The sequence below is a fragment of the Homo sapiens genome, chromosome 22 (assembly GCF_000001405.40).
Source record: "Homo sapiens chromosome 22, GRCh38.p14 Primary Assembly".
In the NCBI taxonomy this organism is placed as follows: Eukaryota; Metazoa; Chordata; class Mammalia; order Primates; family Hominidae; genus Homo; species Homo sapiens.
The window spans coordinates 48,603,632-48,626,275 of record NC_000022.11 but is presented as its reverse complement, the minus strand read 5'-3'; the positions used below and the strand labels follow the sequence as shown (position 1 = coordinate 48,626,275).

The window sequence follows — 22,644 nt, the reverse complement described above, 5'->3', positions numbered from 1 at the left end:
ACAGCTTGGCAGCGTCTTACAAGGCAGAACATACTCTTACCATACGATCCCAAAATCACACTCCTAGGTACTTAGCCAATCGATTTGAAAACTTCTGCCCACACAGAAAGCTGCGTGTGAATGTTTATAGCTGCCTTATTCAAAATCACCCCAAACTGGAAGCAACCAAGAAACTTTTCAACAGGTGAATGGATAAACAAAAGGTGGTCACGTTCATATAAGTGGAATCTTACTCGGGGATAACAAGATGCTGCCAAGCCACAAGAGACACATGGAAACCTTAAACGCTTACTGCTGAGGGCAAAAGGTCAGTCTGAGACGGCTGCATGCACTATGAATCCGACTCCATGACACTCTGGAAAAGATAAAACTACAGAGAAAGTCAAAGGATCAATGGTTGCTGGGGTTTCTGGCGGGGAAAGAGGAATGAATAGTTGGACCCAGGGTATTTTTAGGGCAGAGAAACTATTCTGTAGGATGCTGTGATGGTGAACACACAGCGTCATGCATTTGCCAAAACCCCCACAATTCCACTAAAGAGTGAACTTCAATCTATGCAAATCTAAAATATCATTTACTAGGTTGGGCATTCCAGGCAGGACTTTTATCTGGCGTTAGGAGCATCTGTGTTGTAAATGTGTGAAATAACCTCCCTGAGGGAGCTGGGGAGAAAAGGAGCTCCCCGGTGTGATTCTGGAAAGGGGTGAGGTCTGTAAGACTGAAAGCAAAAGGACCTGATCGTAAGCACTGTGCATGAGTTGATAAAGGTGCTTCCCGTAGGACAGACTCATGATTGCGATAGTGCTATACGCGGATACTTGAACTGAACAGTGAGCTGCATGGCCAGTGGGGGCCAGTTCCTCACTGTTGCAGTGGGAGTTTACCGACAGGCAACGGGAGGGGGCTAGAATAATCCACGGGGTGGTGATCAGAGTTGGAGACGCCCGAGTGAACTCCCCTTTAACCTCAACATAGATATGGTGGTTACACACGGTGTATTCATGGCTGTGAATAGACTGGTGGGTCATACACATTCATGCATCTCCTCCCTCTGTCGGCCAAGAAGGCTGAGAAACAATGAATGACACTCCATTAGCAACAAGGATGCTGGACACCAAGACCAAGGTTTTTGTTTCTCTCTCTCTCTCTTTTTTTTTTTTCAAGACAGGGTCTCACTCTATTTCCCAGGCTGGAGTGCAGTGAAGCAATCTTGACTCACCACTACCTCTGCCTCCTGGGTTCAAGCAATTCTCCTGCCTCAGCCTCTCAGGTGGCTGGGATTACAGGTGCCCGCCACCACACCCTGATGTTTTTTTGTTTGTTTGTTTTTGTATTGTTAGTAGAGACAGGGTTTTGCCACGTTGGCCAGGCCGGTCTTGAACTCCTGATCTCAGGTGATCCGCCCACCTCTGCCTCCCAAAGTGCTGCGATGACAGGCGTGAGCCACCACACCCGGCCAAGACCTAGGTTTCTAATAGTACTCTGTGATGAAAGAAACCCACACTCCCTGGGGTAACGGCTGTTTCTGAGACTAGGACAGGAGCTAGACAGGATGAGCCAGGAGTCACTGGTGGTGCCAAGAAGTGAAGAACAGCTCAAAACACACAGTCACTGATGGGCTGTGCCAACGGAGCCCACGAGTGCCAGGGGGAGCGCCCATGGCCAGAGCTAACATACCTGGCAACCCGGTAAATAAAGCAGCCCTGGATCGCAGCCTAAAGGACAAACGCATCTATCAGTCCACACTGATAAACAGTGAGAGTGACTGAACCGATTACGAAATGGGGAGAAAACGCATGTCTCCGACGCTGAAGAATCCAAGTAGAGTGGATGTGTCCTCATGGAGGCGGCCTGTCCCTCCCCCACTCCATAAGTGAGTGCTGCACCTAGGGATGCTCTTCCAAGGAGCACCCTATGGGAGAAAGAGCGACCTCACAGGGCAGGAACCTGACCCACACGACCCCAGGCAGGTGCTCAAGGCCAAGTATGTGACACTCATGACAGTGGATGCCCCGATAGGATGTGATGAGAAGGGCACTTCACTTTGGCATCTTCTTCCCAAACACCCACAGCCCGATTCTAATCATGGGGAAAGCATCAGATTCCAAAAGAAGGTCATTTAGTAAAATACCCAACTTCGCTCCTCAAAACTGTCAGGGTCATCAACAACACGGAAAGTCTGAGCAACTGTCAGGGCCAGGAGAGGTCCTAGGAGACGTGACAACTAATAATACCACGTGGGATCCTGGATGGGATCTCAGAAAGAAAAAGGACAAAACTAAGGAATTCTGGATACCATAAAAACTTCAGCTGAAGATGACAAGCCAATGCCAGTTCTTTAATTGTAACAAACGTGTATATGAATGTTAAAATGTCCTATTAATAATTATTAGGTGAAAAGTAGGTGCATAGTATATGGGAACGTTCTGAACTGCCTTCAAGTTTTCCATAAATCTAAAATTTTCCCCAAGAAAATGGACCAAGTTCTGTTAAAGTATCTGTAGGAAATACGAAGGGCAATAGGCTTTCTGACGTGCACCGTGAGGAGCCCAGCAGAGGCCTCGGGCCGCCGTGCCAGGCTCTGATGCGGTTAAATGGGGCGTGCTGGGCCTGCTGGCTCTTCCTCCTGCACACCTGTCTGCAGGCTTTCCAAGAAAGATGCTGAGCCCCGGGAAGTTCACATCAGCCTGGCACTCAGCGATGAGCCGCCCCCTTCCTCCACCAACTCACGCCAGGGACCTGGCCAAGACACCTGCTCAAAAGGTGATACCGACACCCGTCACAAACACATCACGGGCTGCGTCCCGTCCCACAGGTCACCGCGCAGGGCCACGCAGCACATCCCGTCCCACAGGTCACCGCGCAGGGCCACGCGACACGTCCCGTCCCACAGGTCACCGCGCAGGGCCACGCGACACGTCCCGTCCCACAGGTCACCACGCAGGGCCACGCGACATGTCCCGTCCCACAGGTCACCGCGCAGGGCCACGCGACACGTCCCGTCCCACAGGTCACCGCGCAGGGCCACGCGGCACGTCCCGTCCCACAGGTCACCGCGCAGGGCCACGCAACAGGCTGCGGCTGCTGGCGAAACCATGCTCATCCATCCCACCGCCGTCAGGGCATCCTGCAAGGTCGAAGGTGACAGCTGGAGTTTGTGCTCACCGCCGCCACCCCCTGCAGCCCACAGAACACATTGCTGCAGGGCCGAGCTCGCCCTCTTCTGGGTAATTACAGAGAGATGGAGAGGGCCGTCTGGAGTTAAGAGCTTCTGGGGAGGAAAACCACGCTGTGAATGGAGCGAAGTGTCCACAGAACAAGGAAGCGAGCATTGGGTCCCTGCCCGCCCAGTAGTGTGCTTGGCTGTCACGGGCAGTCCCAGGTGGGAAGGTGGCCCTGTCCACACAGCCGAGACCTCCAGGGGACCTGTTCACACCTGTCAACAGGACTCCAAAGAGGCAGCCAACACACTGAGTCAGGGCGAGGGGCCTGTCTGCTGGCAGAGGCGGCCACACAAGCTGAGCCTGCAGCGTGGGCTGTCCCGCATCGATACCACCTCCTCCGGGAATCCTCCTACAGCTGCGCCATTCTCCAAATATCCACAGTGTCGTACCACGGCAGGTGACAAGGACTCCCTCCATGGTGTAACTTTGGTCAGGCTCCTCCGAGCCCTCTTCTTGGCAGAGCCTCAACCTCGGCCAGCTGAGATCCCCTCCATGTCTGCTCCAGCCCCTCTTCCTCCTCCCGACACCAAGCCCAGCTCCCCTGAGTAGTTTCTGTCCACTCCTTCACTCCAGAAATCCCCAGCGCCCCGTGCTGTAGTGGAGCTGAGTGCAATCTCTCCCCACTGCAAGTGTCTGGAATGGAGCCTGCCTTGCTGTTTTCTAACAAGCGTCTGGGGCAGATGCTTTTCTGCAACATAGGCAGGTGCCCGGCCAGGCCCTCCGAGGTGCCCAGGGCCTGCCCCCCATGTGAAACAGCCACTCCCTGTCCTAGGTATCCCTCTCCTCCGGGTCACTGAAACGTGGCTACATAAATATTTTGGGGATAGAGCAATCAGGGTAACTTTGGGAGCTTCTGACCCTGAATACCACATGGTGTCAAGGTGGGCCCCCGGTACCCCTGGGTTCTCATGCACTCCTGTGCTCTAGGGTGATTTCAGCGTCTCCCACTCAGGGTGCAGGAGAAGGGAAGGTGTGTTGTAGGGGTTGCACTGCCGTGAGAAGTTGTTCTGGAATGGATGGTTCAAGAAATACCTGGGCCCTGGCTTCTGACACCATCACTACTCAGCCTCACTAGCCAGCGAGAGCCCAAACTCCTCATCTAGGAAAACAGAAACACAGGCAGGGGTCCAGCCACCTCCAGAGGCACAAACCGTGCCAGGCTCAGAGGCCTGCAGATGCAGCCCTGCTCCGGGCTGAGGCTTCTCCCCATCCCCAGCGACACTGAGACCTCGTGGGCTCTCAGCATCACAGGGCCTCGGCCACCACTCCCCACCTCGAGAGGCCAGTCACATGTATGTTTGCAAGGTCTCAGGACGAAGCTACTGTCACACCCTGCCTTGCTCCCTTCATAAAGTGCAAGACCCCGAGGCCACGGGCCTGGGCTCTCCTGATGCCGCAGGCTGGGCCACTCTGCGGCCACAGCCGGACTCAGTGGAGCTGCTCTTCCCTGCTTTCACCCTGGGACACCAGGCTCCCTTCTACTCGCTCCTGCTACAACCGCCGATGCCCTCTGAGAAGACCTCACAAAGCATGGGCCCAACAGCCCCTACCCCGGCCAGAGTGAGCAGAAGTGCCCATGAGCACCTACATGATGGGCATGGGGGTTCCTGTGCCATGCTGCCCTGGGCATATCTGCTGATGCCATGGATGGAGCACCCAACACAAGAATGGATGAATGGATGGGTGGGTGTGTGGATGAAATGATGGAAGCAGGGATGGATGATGGATGGGTGGGTGCATGGATGGAAGGATGGATAAATGGATGGATGGCTGGTGAGTGGGTGGATAGGTAGAATGGATGGGTAGATGGATAGAATTGGTGTGTGGGTGGATTGGGTGGATGGCTGGGTGGATAGTGTGGGTGGGGGGGTGGATAGTGTGGGTGGGGGGTGGGTGAATAGGATGGGTGGGTGGGTGGATGGGTGGATAGATAGGGTGGGCAAGTGGGTGGATAGTAGATTGGGTGGGTGGGTGGATGGATGAATAGGATAGGTTGGTGGGTGGATGGGTGGGAGGGTGGATGGATAGTGTGGGTGGATGGGTGGATAGATAGTGTGGGTGGGTGGGTGGATGGATGAATAGGATAGGTGGATGGGTGGATAGATAGGGTGGGTGGGGGGATGGATGAATAGGATAGGTGGGTGGGTGGATAGACTGGGTGGGTGGATGGATGGATGAATAGGATGGGTGGTTGGGTGGGTGGATGGATAGTGTGGGTGGGTGGGTGTATAGATAGGGTGGGTGGGTGGGTGGATGGATGAATAGGATGGGTGGTTGGGTGGGTGGATGGATAGTGTGGGTGGATGGGTGGATAGATAGTGTGGGTGTGGGTGGGTGGATAGGATGGGTATGGGGGTGAGTAGATAGGATGGATGTGGGGGTGGTGGATGGATGGTGGATGGTGGGTGGGTGGATAGGATGGGGGATGGTGGGTGGGTGGATAGGATGGGTAGGGGGGTGGGTGGACGGATGGATACATGGATGATTCAGAGATCAAATTAAATTGTCCTCAGCAACAACATCAAAAAACAAAAATAGAAGAACAAGAAACTGTTCCCTTCTCTGAGGAGGCAGCCGTAGCAGAACTAACTGATTAAAAACCGCCTCCTGAATTTTATGAGCATCAGAAAAGTCCAACTCCAAACTGGGCCATTCTGAGACAATTAAGTCAAAATATGTGAATTCATTTACACAAATATGGGAAGGAAAGGAGCTCCTGGTGAAATAAGAGGAGAGGTTTGCAGGGCCCTGAGGAAGAGGCGGGAGATGCCACCCAAGGGTCAGGGACCTGGAGACGCTGCAGGCCCTGTGGAGGGAGAGGTGGCTGGAGTTCACCAGAGAGGACACCAAGGGGGCAGTGGGCACGAGGAGAGGAAAAGGAGGTGAGGCAAGAGTTCCCCCACCCTGCCCCCATCCCAGAAGGGTGTGGACTGGGGACGGTGGGAGAAGCAGGGCCCCGGGTCCTTCCTCGACGCCGCCATCCTCCACCCTGGACTCAGGCTCATGCTTTCTTTTCCTCTTTCCCGTTGAATTTGACCACTGGCATTTCACTAAGACACAGGCAAATCTCCAACCCACATGTCACAGCCAGGGAGGAGGGCCGACGCCCCCAGGCCCGCGGGACTCAGCACTGGATGCACAACTTTCAGGGAGCGCAGGAAGCTCGGGGAGCAGAAGCCGCTCTCAGGGGCTCCTGAGCCAGGGCCCAGAGCAACGAGGACAGCGCTTCCCACCCCAGCATGCCGCTCCAGACTCTACGCTGTGACCACAGGGCTTTCAGGTGGGGCAAAGGGCTCTGCCCGGCAGGCAGCGTGACGCCCATGCTGCCAGACTGAGGCCCTGAGTCCGGTCCTGACGCCAACAGTTGAGGATCCTGGGGCCAGCCCGTCTTTGCCATCCTCTGGCCCTGCACTCTCACACTTGTAATCTCAGCACTTTGGGAGTCCAAAGTGGGCAGATCATGAGGTCAAGAGATCGAGACTAGCCTGGCCAACATGGCAAGACCCAGTCTCTACTAAAAATACAAAAATTAGCTGGGTGTGGTGGTGGGCACCTGTAGTCCCAGCTACTCGGGAGGCTGAGGCAGGAGAATCGCTTGAACCTGGGAGGCGGAGGTTGCAGTAAGCTGAGATCATGCCACTGCACTCCAGCCTGGGCGACAGAGTGAGACTCTGTCTATAAACCAATCAGTCAATCAATTAATCAATCACTGGTCCATGTGCCTTCACCCACACCCTCTCCCAGTCTGAGGTCCAAGAGTCTGGGGTTCAGGCTCCTTCCCGCATGGACAGATCCAACCCTGACGGCACCCTCTAGAGACAAAGGCAAGAAGGCCAGGCTCTGTACAGCCCGGCCACTGACCATGGGCAGAGATGTGGCATGTCGTGGCTGCACTCAGAAGAGGAAGAAAAGACCACTAGATATTTTAGCTGCTGTATTTTAAACATCAGGACATGGAGGTTGAAAATAGATCATGAATGTGGAAAGCCGAACAGCTGACGTGTTTATCCATCTCATTCATCACTCCTTCTTCCCTCAGCAATGGGTCTTGGGCAGTCCTTGCTTCTAACAACCCCTGACATTCACTCTGCCCTGGGTCTCTGAGGTCTTCTAGAACCCAGGACTCCACCAGCCTCCCAGGGCCTAGGTGAAAATCTGTGCAGGCGAGGGGGGCCTATGGGGAACCCAGGGTGTCAGGAGGCAAGGGGAGACAAGAATGGGTGTGAAGCAGCCTCACGAAGAAAGGAGAGCCTCAGAGGCAACCCCCAGCACAGCCATCCTCAATCCCAGATGGGCCACGAAAGCCACCTGCCTGCTCCCAGTGGCCACAGGGCCCAGGAGAGGCTATACTGCCCAGCAGAGCAGCAAGGGCCCGCTGTGCACACTGCCTCCGGGACCTCCCAGACGGAGCTGCGGGCGTGGACAAGGCCACCCGATTACAGATAGCAAGGGCCCACTGTGCACGCTGCCTCCAGGACTTCCCAGACGGAGCTGCGGGTGCGGACGAGGCCACCTGATTACAGATGATGAATATGAAACAACGCCAATCCGTTACCCAACACCAGGCAAAGCCATCCCCGGCAACTTTATGAGCAAGTAAATCCTGAGCTTGCTCCAATAAAGTATTTACGAGGTCTCTTGTTCCAAAACTGCACGCATGGCCTTTTTCTAATTCAATCTATCCCACAAAGGTAAATATGAAGGCTTGGCAGAGGCGAGCGTCAGTGCACAGGCTCCTGGCCTGCCACGGTGCAGTTCGGTCCTGGGGAGGCAGGAGAGCCTGGGACAGTGGCTCTGTGCCGCTGCTAAGCCTGTGGGGGACTGGGGCAGGTGTAGAGACTTCCAGAGCCCCAACTCCCACCCTCCAGTATCCAGGTATCCACGGCTTGGCCAGGCTCGACTGCACCCACAATCCTGAAAGAGTGCAGAAACAACCTCTCTAAAATCAGAAACCCCAGTGCTTCCTGCTGTTAACCTCCGTGTCCACACAGAGCCTGGCGCCACACTTACTGGGTTCAAATCCCAGTGTGCCACTTACCAGTGGCCTGAATTTCCCTTTGTAAAAAATGGCCATAAAAACCGCGCCCATGTGGCAGGGCTCTTAAGAGTAACAACTGAGGTTACCATGAACAGAGTGCTCAGAACAGGACCCCACCCTGGCACACCACGTAAGGACAGGCTGGACCCATATGTGCTTGTGCACCTCCAGGCAGGGGGTGGTACAGAGGGGACTCAACCCCAGGGCCCTGCTCCGTCTTCTCAGAACACACAGCCCAGCAGGCATGTGGTCGTGTCACCGCAGACATCTCACCAGGGATGCACCAAGCCAGGCTCCAGAACATCCAGCCCCCGCCTCAGGCATGGGGCAGCTTTATGTTCCCAGGAGATAGACGCGGAGACAGACTCTGCCATTCTCTCTCCTGCTGCATCCCCAGTTTCTTTCATGGGCCACTCAGCCTGAGAGGTGACGACAGTGAGGACAGTGAGTGCCGAGGTTCTGCGAGAGGCGCTTCCGGGGCCACTGAGGCAGGGACGGGAGTGCCTGCATGCTTCCAGGAGCTCCACACGGCTGCAGTAACGAATGGCCTCAAACCAGGCCCCGAAACAGCACCCATTTATCCTCTTGCTGCTCTGAGGGCCAGAAGTCTGAGCCCAGCTTCACTGGCTAAAGTCAAGGTGTCACTGATTTCTTCTAAGGTCTCTGGGGAGAATCTGTTCCCTTTGCTTTTCCAGATTCCAGAGGCCGCCACACCCCTGGGCTCCCTGCCTCACATCACCCCCTCTCTGCTTTGTCCTCATGCCCCTTTTGCCTCCTCTTCCCAGGACGCCTGTGACTGCCTGTGAGACCCACCTGGATAAGCCGCAGTCACGCCCCCATCTCAAGATCCTTAATCACATCTGCAAGACCCTCTTGCCTGGCGAAATGACACATCCGCAGGTTCCAGGGATTAGAACCCGGACATCTTTTGGGGAGTGCATTGTTCAGCCAACCACACGCTGGGTCTGCACAGGGCATCCCCCGAGTGACCACAGGTATCCACGCTCCCAGCCCAGCCCTGGTTTTGTTTCTCGCCCAACAATGAACTCACCATGGATGAAGCCCAGATCCAGATGTCCACCGGCCCACCAAGGAGACTGGACACCCATAGAAGGCCTCTCTCGGACAAGACGCTCCCACCCCAGCCGTGCCCACCAAACCCCTAGGGGTCCCCACGGACCTGCAAGCAGCTGGGTGTCTGCCGAGCCCAGAGCCACGCAGCCTTCGGAGCTGGGCAACTCCCTGTTCCCTATTCCCACCATCTCGCTGCTGACCCACCTCGCTGGGCTTTCTGCAGCCCTAGACAGAGGGTGGGATAGGCAGGAAGAAGTTTTGGGCTTCAGTGGCCCATCTGGTGGGACAAAGTGCAGCCCATCCGGCCTCAGCGAGGCCACTCCCTGGTTTCCATGCGCAGGCAAAATGCCACCTTCCTGCCTCGTGCTGTGACTTGCAGGCAGGAGGAAGACCTCTGGGACCCTGTCCCAAGCGGCCAGGCTCCAGGAGCATCCCGAGTGCATGGGCGGGTGACGCATTAGAGATGCTCCCAGGTGACTGCACCTGATCCCATGCATTAGGTGATGCATTAGGGATGCTCCCAGGCCTCACGATGTGCACTTCATCCAGCAGCACCCTCGGGGCCACTGCAGAAGACACGATCACTTGGGCCTTCAGGCTCATCAGGCCTCGACCAGAAAATGCTCGAATTTTAGAAAATCAGCACGGCGGGGTTACGGCGGTATTGGCCACACTGTATGAATGTATTCCACCTTCCCATTCAAAGCCTGCAGCGCTGTCCCCAGCTCTGCCTGACTGCTGATGGGACCCTCACTCCCTGCTGAGAGCCCACCCCACTCCTGAGCAGCCCCGGGGCTGGTGAGCTCTGTTGGAGTGATCCCCAGCCCCAGGCCCAGCTCCAGGGTCCCAGAGAATCAGCACACCAGGCCGGTGTTTCTCAAAGGAAAGGATGACCCCTGCACCCCACAGAACCAGTAGGGACGTGCCTGGCTGTATTCTAGAAGCCCCAGTTCAGCTCTTCACAGCCTCCACCAGTGTAGAAACAGACCTGACCATCCCTGCACAAACTAGGGCAAAGCCAGGGTGAGGATTGGAAACCATTAGGCCATTGGAGGGGCAAGGCCTGCTGACAGCCCCAGGAGGGATGTGCAATGCAGAGAGGGCTGGCTGGGAGGGGGTTCTCTGCGGACAGGAGCTGTACCTCCATGGTCCCCCGCAATGACCTGGCCCTCCCCTGAAGCCCCAGTGGAAGAGGCATTGCCTTTCTTGTCACAGGGCCCCTCCTGGAGAGGGGGGGATGGGGGCGGGGGCCAGGACTGTGAACCCCAGGAACAGTCTAGAGAGTGCCCTTCATGTGGAACAGGGGCCAGAAGGACCCGTGGGGGATGTCCTCATAAACCGCAGGAGAATCACCTTGTAAATAGAAAGGGATTTATTTATGACCACAGAGGGTGAAAACCATAAAGGGAAATGACTGCCTTGAAAGTCAGGCACAGGGAGCCCCCCAGGAAGGCGAGCATGGCCCCCACAGCTAGGCGAAGCCCATCCGAGAGGAACACGGACAGAGCGTCCTCGGCCACGCCTGCTGCCACAACCTCCCCACTGCCCAGGACTTGAAGAAAGACTGGCTGTAGCCTCAAGCCATCCGCTTCCCTTTGCTTGGGGACAAGCTCGTCGGACCGAGCCGCCGGCTGCCACCATGGGCAGATACGAGTGCTTTTCATCAGTTCTGCTGGCACAAAGGCAGGGGCTGCAGATTCGTGCTAATTAAGAACTCTTATCACTGTTCCCGTCTTCCCCAACGCAGCTCTCTCACCTGGAGAGACACATACCTGTCCACCCTCCTCCAGGCAGCCTGGGTTCAGGAGGGACGGGGATGGTGGCTCCTGAAGGGGCGTCCTGGGAAACACGGAGGCTTTGTAAGCGAGTACTTCCTAGAATCTGGTTGTGGTTGTTTGAATAAACTAGAAGGTTGAAATTGTAAAGAAAAAGGATGAATCCCCCAGGTAGCGCTGAGTTCTTACAGTGCGTGGCTTCTCCCCAAGCAGCCAGTGGCTTCTGGCCCCGGTGACTGGGAGGCCAGGCCCGCTCTGCTGACCCCATGCCCGGCCTTCTCTCCAGGGCCGGCTCCAGCTGGCCAGCCCCAGTGCCACCCCCAGTGCCTACCCCGGCCCCCACATCTGTCTCACACACTACAAGTGCTGGACGTGTGCGGCACAGAAGGTGTGAACGAAGCTCTCGGTCAACAGGACGCGCAGCACCCTGGCAGTACTTGCTTGCGACAGGAGCAGGGTTTCCACAGATGCCCCAGGACGCATGGAATCTCAGAGGAGCTTTTACAAAGGTCACCTACAGCATGTTTCCCAGCCATGACTCTGTGGACACACCAGGCACAGTGTGAGTCTGGCCTCTGCATCCCTTTAACCACGAGGCAAGGAGCCCTGGGGGAGGGCACTTGTCTCCTGCCCGGGGTCCTCCTGCCTTGCCCGGGACTTAGGGGTTGGTACAAGGCGGGATTTTCAGCTTTGAAACCAGCAAGTGTCGTGCAAACCAGGACATGTGGGTCTCCCAAGTATAAGGGTGTCTAAGAATGCATCAGTGCATCTGTGAATGGGTAAACGTCTGTGTATCAACATATCCAGGAATGAAGAACATTTAGCAATTTTTTAAGCAGCTGTGGAACCCACACACGGCATAAACAGTTGTGGGGGGCAGATGGGTGTCTGCAGTGTGATTCTCTTCACGGTTTTGTATCTATGACAATTTTCACAATGAAGAGTTGGGGTGAGGAATGGTTCGGGCCCCCAGCTCTGCGCAGGCCCTTCAGGAGAGGGCGCCTGGGGGCCCCAGACAGGGGCCCACCAGCAGACAGGGGTGATGTAGCCAAGCACACCGGCTGTCCTGAGATAACACCCGTCGGCCGGGAGGTCAGGACCGCTTCGCAAGTGCAGGGTGGAAATAAACCAGGGCGTCTGACGGCTCCCACATGCTCGCGAGCGGCTTTGTCCTTCCACAGAATCCCATCTCGCAGGGGCCGCGAGCCGGGGGTGGTGGGAAGCGGGCTGAGGGCCACCGGCCAATCTCCAGACTGCACCCAGGAGCCTCTTCAGCCATGGGGGCCTGGAGACTCTGTGCAGCTGTGATACATCCTCTTTTTGTTCAGGACCCACCAGGAGCTCGAGGGGGCCACATTCTATGGCGACAGAGTCACGAAGGGCCGGAAGGACGTCAGCATGGCCTTGCATCAGGTTCAGGCTGGGAGCCCCGGGCTGGGGCGCAGCCACAAGGGCAGCCGGGGAAAGGCCAGAGCAGGTGGAGCCAAGATCACACTGCGGACTGGAGCCTCAACCCTGCCCCAGAACCAAACACTCAATGGAGATGGAAATCCGTGTTTTCTAATTCACGGAGGAGGCTGGGAAGGCGAGATGAGCGCCTGGCCGAACCACAGGGCCAGGAGTCCGTCTCAAGTCCAGACAACCCCAAGCTCAGGAGATGAGACAGAGAGGAAAGAAGAATGTCAGAAGGACAAACAGAGTGGGGGAGATGGACCCCAGAGAGGCTGGGAGGCAGAGACGGCAGGGCCCGCAGGGGCATCCACAGTGGGCTGGATGACAGAGGCTCAGTGCAGGCTCTGCACACATTAACAGAGACGGACATCAGCTCAAGGAGGTGAAACAGTGTCCAGGGGCCTGTGCTAGGGACGGCTCAGGAGAGACGTAAGGGACCAGACTCAGGTCCTCAGATCATCAGTGAAAGGACCTGTGTTGAAGAGAGGACTCCAGGGAGGAAGGAGGAATACGGCGTGACTCAGAACAGCCGTGAGTGCTCCCTAGAGCTCAGTGAAGGCATCAGGAGAATCTTCCAGCATTGATGTTAGCATATTCCCGAGCACAGGAACCGTCTGGAAATGGCCGGGCTGCACCACAGAGCCAAGAGTGGCTGGTCCCTGAGTGCCAGTGAGGAAAAGGCAGCAAACGCCCTGCCAGGGATGCCAGAGGAGGAGCCCCACCTCCTGGGTCTGTGACATGCTCACATTCAAAACTCAGACAAGCCAGGCTGGAGGGTGACCAGGCCACCGGCTCACTGTGACCTCCTGCACCACCCACTGCTCCCCACGATGACCAGTCGGCCGTGGCTCTCCTGTCAGAAACCCCCTCTCAAGGGACCCTGCTGTGCACAGAAGAGGGACACATGGAGACACATCAGCGGGCCCTGGGCACATCAGGAGAGACCCCCATGGGAAGGTGGCAGGGTTGCCCAGGAGGGTTTCTCAGAGACAGGGATGGAAGCAGAGGAGGAGCTCAGAGAAAGGCACTCGTGGGAGGGCAGACACTCGGGGAAAGGGAGACACTCCGGGAAAGGGAGACACGCGGGGAACGGGAGACACGTGGGGAACAGCAGACAGGTGGGGCGGGGGCACCTCCCATTAGGCGAGGGCTGCTGGGGGTCGGAAGAGCCCACTGGATGGGAGGGCTGGAGGGTCCAGGAGAGACGAGGCCACCTGTGCCCAGGGACAGGGCCCCAGGGAAGGCAACAGGTGGGCGTGCTATAGGGACACCTTGACACACGCTCAAAATGTCAGTGTTGCAGGGAGGTACACGGGCCATTTAACCCCTTTGCAGTCTCCCAAGACGCGCACAGGCTGTGAGACACGCGTGGCCTGCCGTGATCTCACAGGCTCGCCTTGATTACACTTGAACATGCAAGTGAGCCGCCCTGTGCTGCGGGGGTGTGCACTGGAGTCACCCACGCTGGCGGCCAAGGACTTTGTTTCTATAAGGATTACAAATGGAAAAGCATGAGGCCCAGTGGGCGGCCAGGGGATGAGCCACCCAGGGGAGGAAGCCCCGTCCGTGGGAAGCACAGGGCTCCTGCACCTGCATAGACGCACCCTGGAATTCTGGCCCTGACCACAGGCACAGCGCCCTGTGCTGCTTCCAGCCTTGCCCTGGATCTGAGACCCACCCTGTGCAGAGGCAACCTTTCATTATATTACAGGTGAGGAAACTGAGGCTCAGAGAGGCATACAGCAGTAAACAGGGACCCAGGATTCCAGCAGAGCTGCCAACACCCAGCCCCCTGGCAGCCAGAGGTGGGCCCCTCCCTCCTGACTCTCAGCAGCCCTCAGGGCCGCACATCTGGAGTTAAGGCTCACACCCCAGGCACTGCCTCTGCCCATCCGGAGGCCTGGAACAGCTTCTGCCCAGGGAAGGGAGGTGTTGCACATGCTTTACTGAAGAGTGAGTCAGAAAAAGGTGGGAGGAGGAAGGAGGTGGAAGGAAGAGGGGTGGGTAGGTGGTTTCCAGAAAGTTCTACCAGGAGAGGCAAGAAAGGCCAGCCCACGTGGACACAATCAGAACACCAAAGGGGCGACATCTCTGAAGGTCTCAGGGGACACAAAGTGGCAGGACACGGAGGGTAAACACAGACTCTCACGAGCCCTGGCCACAGAATCCACATGGCCGAGCCCCCAAAAGCCCTCGCCAGGCATAGCTCCCGCCACAGATCCCAAAGATCAAGTTCCGAGTTTAGAAGGAAGGAGATTTCCAGGGGTGGCTGTGTCTGCTGCCCCATCCGGGCTGACATGCCGCAGGTAACGAATGCTGAATAAGTGAGTTCTAATAAATAACAAAATGAATAATCTGGGTGTACGAAAGGCAACGCAGGACAGCATCTCAGCGAAAGGGGAGCAGGTGAAGGAAGGGAGCAGAGAGGCTGTATTTCGCGGTCTGCCGCTAGCTGTGTTTTCAAAGCTATCAAAAATAGGCTGAGTGCGGTGCCTCACGCCTGTAATCCCAGCACTTTGGGAGGCCAAGGCGGGCGGATCGCTTGAGGTCAGGAGTGCAAGACCAGCCTGGCCAACATGGTGAAACCCCGTCTCTACTGAATATACAAAAAATTAGCTGGGCGTGGTGATTCGCACCTGTAATCCCAGCTACTAGGGAGGCTGAGGCAGGAGAATCGCTTGAACCCAGGAGGTGGAGGTTGCAGCGAGCCGAGACTGCACCACTGTGCTCCAGCTGGACAATAAAGCGAGACTCCACCTCAAAAAAAAAAAAAAAATTACTAAGGGTCATCCAGCCAGTCATTAATGTACTGGAGTGGGAGGGACACAAGTCAAATCCCCGATGCCTCTCGTGTCCCACCACAGTCTGGGAGGGGGAAGCAGACGAAGGGAAGGGGCTGCAGCAGGGACAGCTCGGCTGCATTCACCATCCTTCCCTCCCCATCCTCATGAAGCCCTTGCTAATGGAGATTCTCTGCAAGGCGGAGTCAACACACACAGCACGGGACCAAGCCCCAGCCTCAGCCCCAGAAATCACACGGCCCAACGCTGACAGCTCAACACGGCCCGAAGCCCTCCAGGTGGTCCCGAGCTGCCTGCGAGCCTGCCCCTCTGCTCCTCCATGCTGGGGACAAAGCCCTCCTGGTGGTCCCGAGCTGCCTGCGAGCCTGCCCCTCTGCTCCTCCGTGCTGGGGATGGGCCTTCTGTGGTCCCTCACCACCCCGGGAGCCAGCATGAAGGTCCGCAGTTCACTGGGTGCCTGAGGGCGCTTCCTCAGTGTACCTTTCGTCGTGATTTATTTATACGCCGGCCAGGGCGCAAGGCGAGGACCTCGTGACTTCACAGCAGGTGAATCTTACTTAGCACAGGTGAGGCTGGACACCCAGCTCCATAAACAGAAAGAATCACGAGCAACGGGCAAGACTGAACCCATTACTGTGCCAAACGCTGGGATGCAGCCTCCGGCCTGTCCTCCAGTACCCTCAGGAACGTGCCTGCAGCAGTGCAGCCAGGCCCTTCTCGGGGGCCACGGGAAGGCCTCCCTGCCCCGCCTCTGGTCAGACCCTGCTGAGCCGACCTTAGGTTCTCTTGGGGCTCCATCCAAAGCCAAACAGCCCCCTCCACTGTGTGTTGTTATGGGTTCAATTTTGACCCCCTAAAACCATGCTGAGATTCTAACCCCTGAGGCCTGTAACTGTCACCTTCTTTGGAAACAGGGTCTTTGCAGATGTAATCAAGTTAGGCGAGGGCCATTAGGGTGGGCCTCAATCCAATATGACTGGTGACCTCACTACAAGAGGAGGTTAGGACACAGAGGGAGGACGGCTGTATGTGGTGGAGGCAGAGGCTGGCGGGAGGCAGGTGGAAGCCAAGGGCTGCCTGAGCCACGGGCAGCCAGAGAGCAGCCGGGAGCAGCTTCTCCCCCAAGACCCTCAGAAGGAAGCGGACCTGCGGGGCCCTGATGCCAGACCCCCGGCCTCCAGAAGCACGGGCGGCTCCACACCAGTCGTGTAGAGGCTGCCTGGCCTGTGGTCCTTGGTCACAGCAGCCTTGGGGAACTCATACACCATCCTCAGGTCTGTGAGCTTCAGAATCATGGTGGTTCTTTTGCAGGAGAAACGGGGGCGGCCCCGTCCTGGGTTCAGGAGCTGTGCGTGAGCAGAAGTGGACAGAGGCGTGGACAGAGGCGAGGTCCAAGGCCCAACCCCACTCCTCCTGGCTCCAGCGCCCTGTCCACACCACAGACAACACATGGCCAGTGATGCCACAGGTCTCACACCACAGACAACGCATGGCCAGTGATGCCACAGGTCTCACACCACAGACAATGCACGGACAGTGATGCCACAGGTCTCGGACTAGGCAGCTGCCTGGCCGAGCGTCCACGAAGGTCTCTTAACTCAGAAACTTGGCTCCTTCCTTGGCATCTGGATGTTGCCCCAACGTGTCTTTGATTTCTGAAAACACAATCTCCCTCTTCAGGCCTCACCCAGGAACCTGCTGAGCTGGGAGACGTGCATTTCCCACCCAAGTAGAGGTTCCTCCTCAGAACACACCACCGCCCACCTGTTTACGCACATCCATCCGACAGCAGTGCTCTCCTCTGCCAGGGCCATCGCTCCACAGTAACAGACTGTGCCCTGGCTAACTGCAGCCTAGGGGCCTCCTGACGCTCCCCCAACCCACTCAAATGAACCCAACCCACTTGACGTGTAAGAATAAGCACCTGCCCACGCCACTCCTCAGGAATGTCCAATGTCCAGTTGACGGTCCATCAGATACTGCGGACAGCAAAGCATGGCCCTATTCCGCTACAGCACAAGGGCTGCAAACCTGGGGTGTTAGCAGAGAAAGCTTTGCCATGGGGCACAGAGCTCCCGAGCGTCGGGTGCCTGCCCTCTGTTGGAACGAAGGCCTGGAGCTGTGGCTTCAAGCAGACAAAGGCCAGCGGGCTTCGGGAGCCCCTCCACGGCACTCTGCAGTTCCTCAAGTAATCATGGCTCCACCACCCCCAACCAACATCTGGCACGCACAGGTAAAAACAGCCCTTCCTCACCAGGATTGGCGCCAAGAGGATTCTCTAAAATGCTTCCACCATCACGGTCAGCAGGATGTGACCAACTCAGGAAACGCTATACAATGCTGGGAAAACCGCAGCATGTCTGGGGAAAAAATAGACGTAGCTGTCACTAAGATGACTTCCTACATGGACACCAATCCACGTGGCCCCAAGTGGAGGACGGATGAGTCAACTTTGTAAGAGAGGCTCCCAGGAAAAAAAAAACCAACAGTATCACGTGTTCATGAGTGAGAAAAACCAGAGGCAAAACCGTATTTCAGCGCACACTTCACCAGCATAAATGTTCAGAGAAAAAAGGACTGGAAGGAGGTATCGTGAATATGGCTGATGGCTACGGTGCTGGATAGCGAGAAAACAGGAGGCTTCTTGGATGACAGGGTCTCCTGAGGTGTTTCTGTATTTCCTAAACACATCATAGACATTTACCTGACTTTAGAGGAGAAACAAAATCAGCGTCGGTGGTGGGTCTTGAAAAGAGACCAAGACCCCCGAGAAGCAGGGGTCTGGCAGCCCGGGGCCGTGGGAGGGGCTGGCAGCCTGGGGCCGTGGGAGGGGCTGGCTCACTGCCTCATTCTGCCTGTCCAGCCCCAAGCCCTGAGCTGTCGTGGTGTGAGAATTCCCTCCACGTTCCCCAGGCCTGGAGAGGGATGGGCCCGGGGCCTCCTACCTCCCAAGGAGGAGCAGAATTTCTCCAAAGGGAAACGACCCCACCCTCCCCACAAGTCATAGCTCCCTCACTCCTCAGGACCCCCAGGGTGGTCAGAAAAGGGCAGGACTTAGACCAAGCAAAAAATGGAAAGTTTTAGTTTTGAGTTTTTTGTTTTTGTTTTTTTTAATGAACTGGACCACTCTCCTTTGGGTCTGCCTGCTGCAGACCCTTCTGGCAACCCCGCCTCCCCAACCCCCATTTTGCACTTGACTCAGAATCTCCCAGGCAACAGGGATGGGTGGGCCAGCCCTAATCAGAACCTGGGACAGACCTGCTCCAGACTGAGGTACCTGGGATGGGTGGGCCAGCCCTAATCAGAACCCAGGACAGATCTGCTCCAGGCTGAGGTACCTGGGATGGGTGGGCCAGGCCTAATCAGAACCCAGGACAGACCTGCTCCAGGCTGAGGTACCTGGGATGGGTGGGCCAGCCCTAATCAGAACCCGGGACAGACCTGCTCCAGACTGAGGTACCTGGGATGGGTGGGCCAGCCCTAATCAGAACCCGGGATAGACCTGCTCCAGGCTGAGGTACCTGGGATGGGTGGGCCATCCCTAATCAGAACCCAGGACAGATCTGCTCCAGGCTGAGGTACCTGGGATGGGTGGGCCAGCCCTAATCAGAACCCAGGACAGATCTGCTCCAGGCTGAGGTACCTGGGATGGGTGGGCCAGGCCTAATCAGAACCCGGGACAGACCTGCTCCAGGCTGAGGTACCTGGGATGGGTGGGCCAGCCCTAATCAGAACCCAGGATAGAACTGTTCCAGGCTGGCCCCAGATCCATGCACTGCCTCCGAGGCTAACGGGACCGGGCCCTGCCTGCAGGCCTGAGTGAGGCCCCACTGTGTAGGGACACAGCTTCCTCCTCAGACATCCCCAGAGCCTGGCCTGGATCTGTCCCCAAGAATCCTGAGTACATGTGGTGACTGCATCAGTGAAAGTGATGCAGGACATGGGTTACTGCTTGCCCTGGGCACAGAGTGGAAGCGAAACCTGGACAGAAGCAAGCCAGCGTGAACTGTCACGTGAAGCAGGCCTGGCACCAGCCATCACGGGCAAGGGCCTGGCTCAGAACCCCAGCGTCTGACAGCACTAAATCATCAGAGCGCCCTAGGCCCCTTTCCTCCCACCAAGAGCGTGTCTCCCCTCTGCACCCAGGCCTCCAGGTAAGGAGCCAGGCAGGGGAAACACGCGGCACTCCTAAGCAGCGATCGCTAATCCAGGCTGAATCCCAGACGCCAGTTTCAAAGCAAAGAGAGCAGCAGCAAAACCGCTTTTGAGTAACAGGCTTTTGCATATGAAAGTAAACATGGCTTTTGTATAAAAAGAAGAAAATCAGACAAGAAAGTAAGTTCCACAGATAATCCCACCACTCTAGTAGCCACTCCAAATCCTCATTTCCCCAAATCCTCATTTCAGTATTTCAGCTTTCTGGATGTCTTCATAGAAATACATACATCTATATCCAGACAAATACCTACAGCAACACTGTAATCATCCTGCCTGCTGCTTAAACCTACTTTTTTTCAGTTCTCAAAACATCACGAATTTTCTCTGCTTGTGGAAGGGAGTATCCCTGGGGGCTGAGATCCACTCAGTCTGAAACCTGGAGTGCACGCTGTCTCCGACGGTTCGCCACTGCGATTCTCGAGAGGGAGCATGCCTTGAGCTCTCACTCTGTCTCTCCTTGTGCCCCAGGACAAATTCCTGGAGGTGGGATTTTGGGGTCCCAGGGTTTGGTACAGGGACTCAATGACCTCCAGGAGGTGGAGGAGAGCGGAGCCCTGCTGCTGACTCTCATGGGGCTCTTGGGGCAGGTGCACCAGCAGTCACGTGGCAGGACAGGTGCCCGGCTCCGAAGCCTCCCAAGGTCAGACCTTGTGCTGACTCATCAGGCTCACCAGGCTGAGTCATCTCCCACTGCTGCCTCCTCCAGCCACCCAGCACACAGAGCTGGGGGTCCACCCCATGGGGCAGGCCCTTCCCTGTTCACTGCAGTGGCTGTGAACCCATGAGGGACTCTGGGCTCCCCGGAACCTGCCCTCATGGACGCTTACACTCCAGGATTAGCACCAGGCATCCCAACTGTGGGTGGGGACTTGGCATGGCTGTGACAAGACACAGGGACCCTACAGCCCTCTAAGTGAATGTTAATCATTTTCAGTACATGTCACAGGGTGAGAGGGGCAAAGCCCCAATTTTAGAATCAATCAGGCTCAAGTTGAAGTTCAAATTTAGAGGCCTCCCAGGTACAAGCTTTGGGCCTTGGGCAAGTTTCTTGACCTCTCAAAACTTCAGATATCTCGCAGGTAAAATGCCTGCCTGCATCCTAGTTAGGCTGTTAGGATTAAAGAAGATGGTGGATGAAATGCAGTAAGACATAAAAAAGTAGGCCCTATCACCACCACAACCATCGTTGCCATTACCATCACCATCCCTGCCACCACCAACATCATCATTACCATCACCATTGCCATCACCACCACCACCACCACCACCACCATCCTCACCATCACCACCATCATTACCATTACCACCATGATCACCATCAACACCATCACCACCATCATCACCATCGCCATCACCATCATCACCATCATCACCATCACCACCATCATCACCATCACCACCATTAACAACATCATCACCATCATCCTCACCATCACCCTCATCACCATCATCACCATCATTACCATCACCATCACCACCATCACCACCATCATCACCATTACCACCACCACCATCATCACTATCATAATCATAACCACCATAACCATCATCACCATCACCATCATCATTCAGTCCTCCACCTCTTCCTTATCATCAGCAGCATCATCACCATCACTAGCAGCAACACCATAATCTCCTCTCCACCATTATCACCACGATCATCATCACCATCATTACCATCAACACCGCCAAGATCTCCTCATTGCCATCACCACCTATATCCTCATTACCCTCATCATATTCACAGTATCATCATCTCCCACACCACCATTACTACTGTAATATCCATCTCCTCCTCCCCAGAATCTAAAAGGAAAATGCACTCTGCAACAAGCCCAGAAAACTTCTCCATCCCAAATCCAACTGCTAAGAAGCATACCTCTCATACCCTTAGAGAGGCCCCCAGCCTGCCCTGGGCCCCTCAATCCTCCCCAAATTCCTGTTCCTTGGAGGACATTATAAGAGTGGAAGGATGGAAAAAAAATCTATGGGCTGCAGCTACACCAGAAGGGCACCACAAGCTAGCTGGGGGCTTGCACACCTCCCAGATGTGCTCACCTTCCATGGGAGAAATTTCGAAAACAAAGCAAGAGGACCTGGCCCAAGGCCAGTGAGTGGAGGGATCAGAGCCAGAGCCCAGGAGTCCTCCCAAGCTTGAGCACTCCCTGTAGCACCACAGGGGCCTGGGCAAATCCAGTGGATGCCAGCCCAGGTCTTCCCACAAAGTCCCTGCTGGGCGGGAGCCATCTCCTGCTGTCCCCACCACCACGGCGGCTCAAAACCCAGAACAAGTCTGGAACACCATGAGAAAACACCGTGGAATCTGCAGCAAAATGCAGAGGACATGTCTGAGTGGTGACATGCCCATGTCACAAATGACTCCAGGGCACTGAAGGTCCTCAAGGCACACATACAGGGTCAGAGTGTTATCCTAAAACGAAGGAACGCAGTGCCTGAGATGTAAACACTCGGTCCAAGGTTGCCTGTACTGTGGCCAAGAGGGGCCCAGCGGCTGCCTGAGCTGTGTGGCTGGGCACGTCAATGCCCCTTTCTGAGCTGCAATCCCTTCATTTGTAACAAAGGGAGAATTCATCCATCGGTAGCTTGCGCGCCTGTCGCTTGGAGTGAATGAGACACACACAGTCCAGTGCTGTCCACGGGGTACCTGGATTATCAAAACTAAACTCCCGGGTGGGTGTCATCGGGGCCCACAAGGTCCCCCAAATAATAAGAGTCAGCAATGGGGAATATGCCTCCAGGCCAGGGGGTTCTGACCACTGCCCCCCATTCACTTTCCCCTCTGTGCACTCCCTGAGACGCACGAGTTGGGAGCCAGGGTCCTCCAGCCTGCCAGCCCACTGGATCTCCACTTGCTGCTGCTTGCCAAGTCTGCCTGGCCAGAGAGAGGACTGCAGGCGGGAGCAGTGCCTGTGTTATGATGAAAGCTACTTTTTAGGAAGCAAAACCTCCTCTCCAGAATGTAAAACCTCCAGGAGAAGGGAGAGGCAGCTGCACCTCTGTGGGCTGGTTGGGGAAGATCTGCGTGCCTGCCCTTCGGCTCA

At 56.2% G+C, this 22,644-nt stretch overlaps 1 protein-coding gene across 2 annotated transcripts in view, besides 2 other annotated features; it reads right to left on the bottom strand.

Moving 5' to 3' along the window:
- TAFA5 (TAFA chemokine like family member 5) overlaps positions 1-22,644 on the bottom strand; it is a 262,380-nt gene that overhangs the window by 125,657 nt on the left and 114,079 nt on the right. The window lies entirely within an intron of this gene.
- Positions 19,786-20,707: an enhancer, noted in NCBI's record as "H3K4me1 hESC enhancer chr22:49001381-49002302 (GRCh37/hg19 assembly coordinates)". NCBI's record gives its function as "activates a minimal SCP1, AML or CMV promoter by ChIP-STARR-seq in naive H9 embryonic stem cells {active_cell/tissue: H9 hESC(naive)}" and the evidence as "EXISTENCE:reporter gene assay evidence [ECO:0000049][PMID:30033119]".
- Positions 20,105-20,399: an enhancer, noted in NCBI's record as "tiled region #11110; HepG2 Activating DNase matched - State 9:DNaseU, and K562 Activating non-DNase unmatched - State 24:Quies". NCBI's record gives its function as "activates a minimal TATA promoter and a strong SV40 promoter by Sharpr-MPRA in HepG2 and K562 cells {active_cell/tissue: HepG2 | K562}" and the evidence as "EXISTENCE:reporter gene assay evidence [ECO:0000049][PMID:27701403]".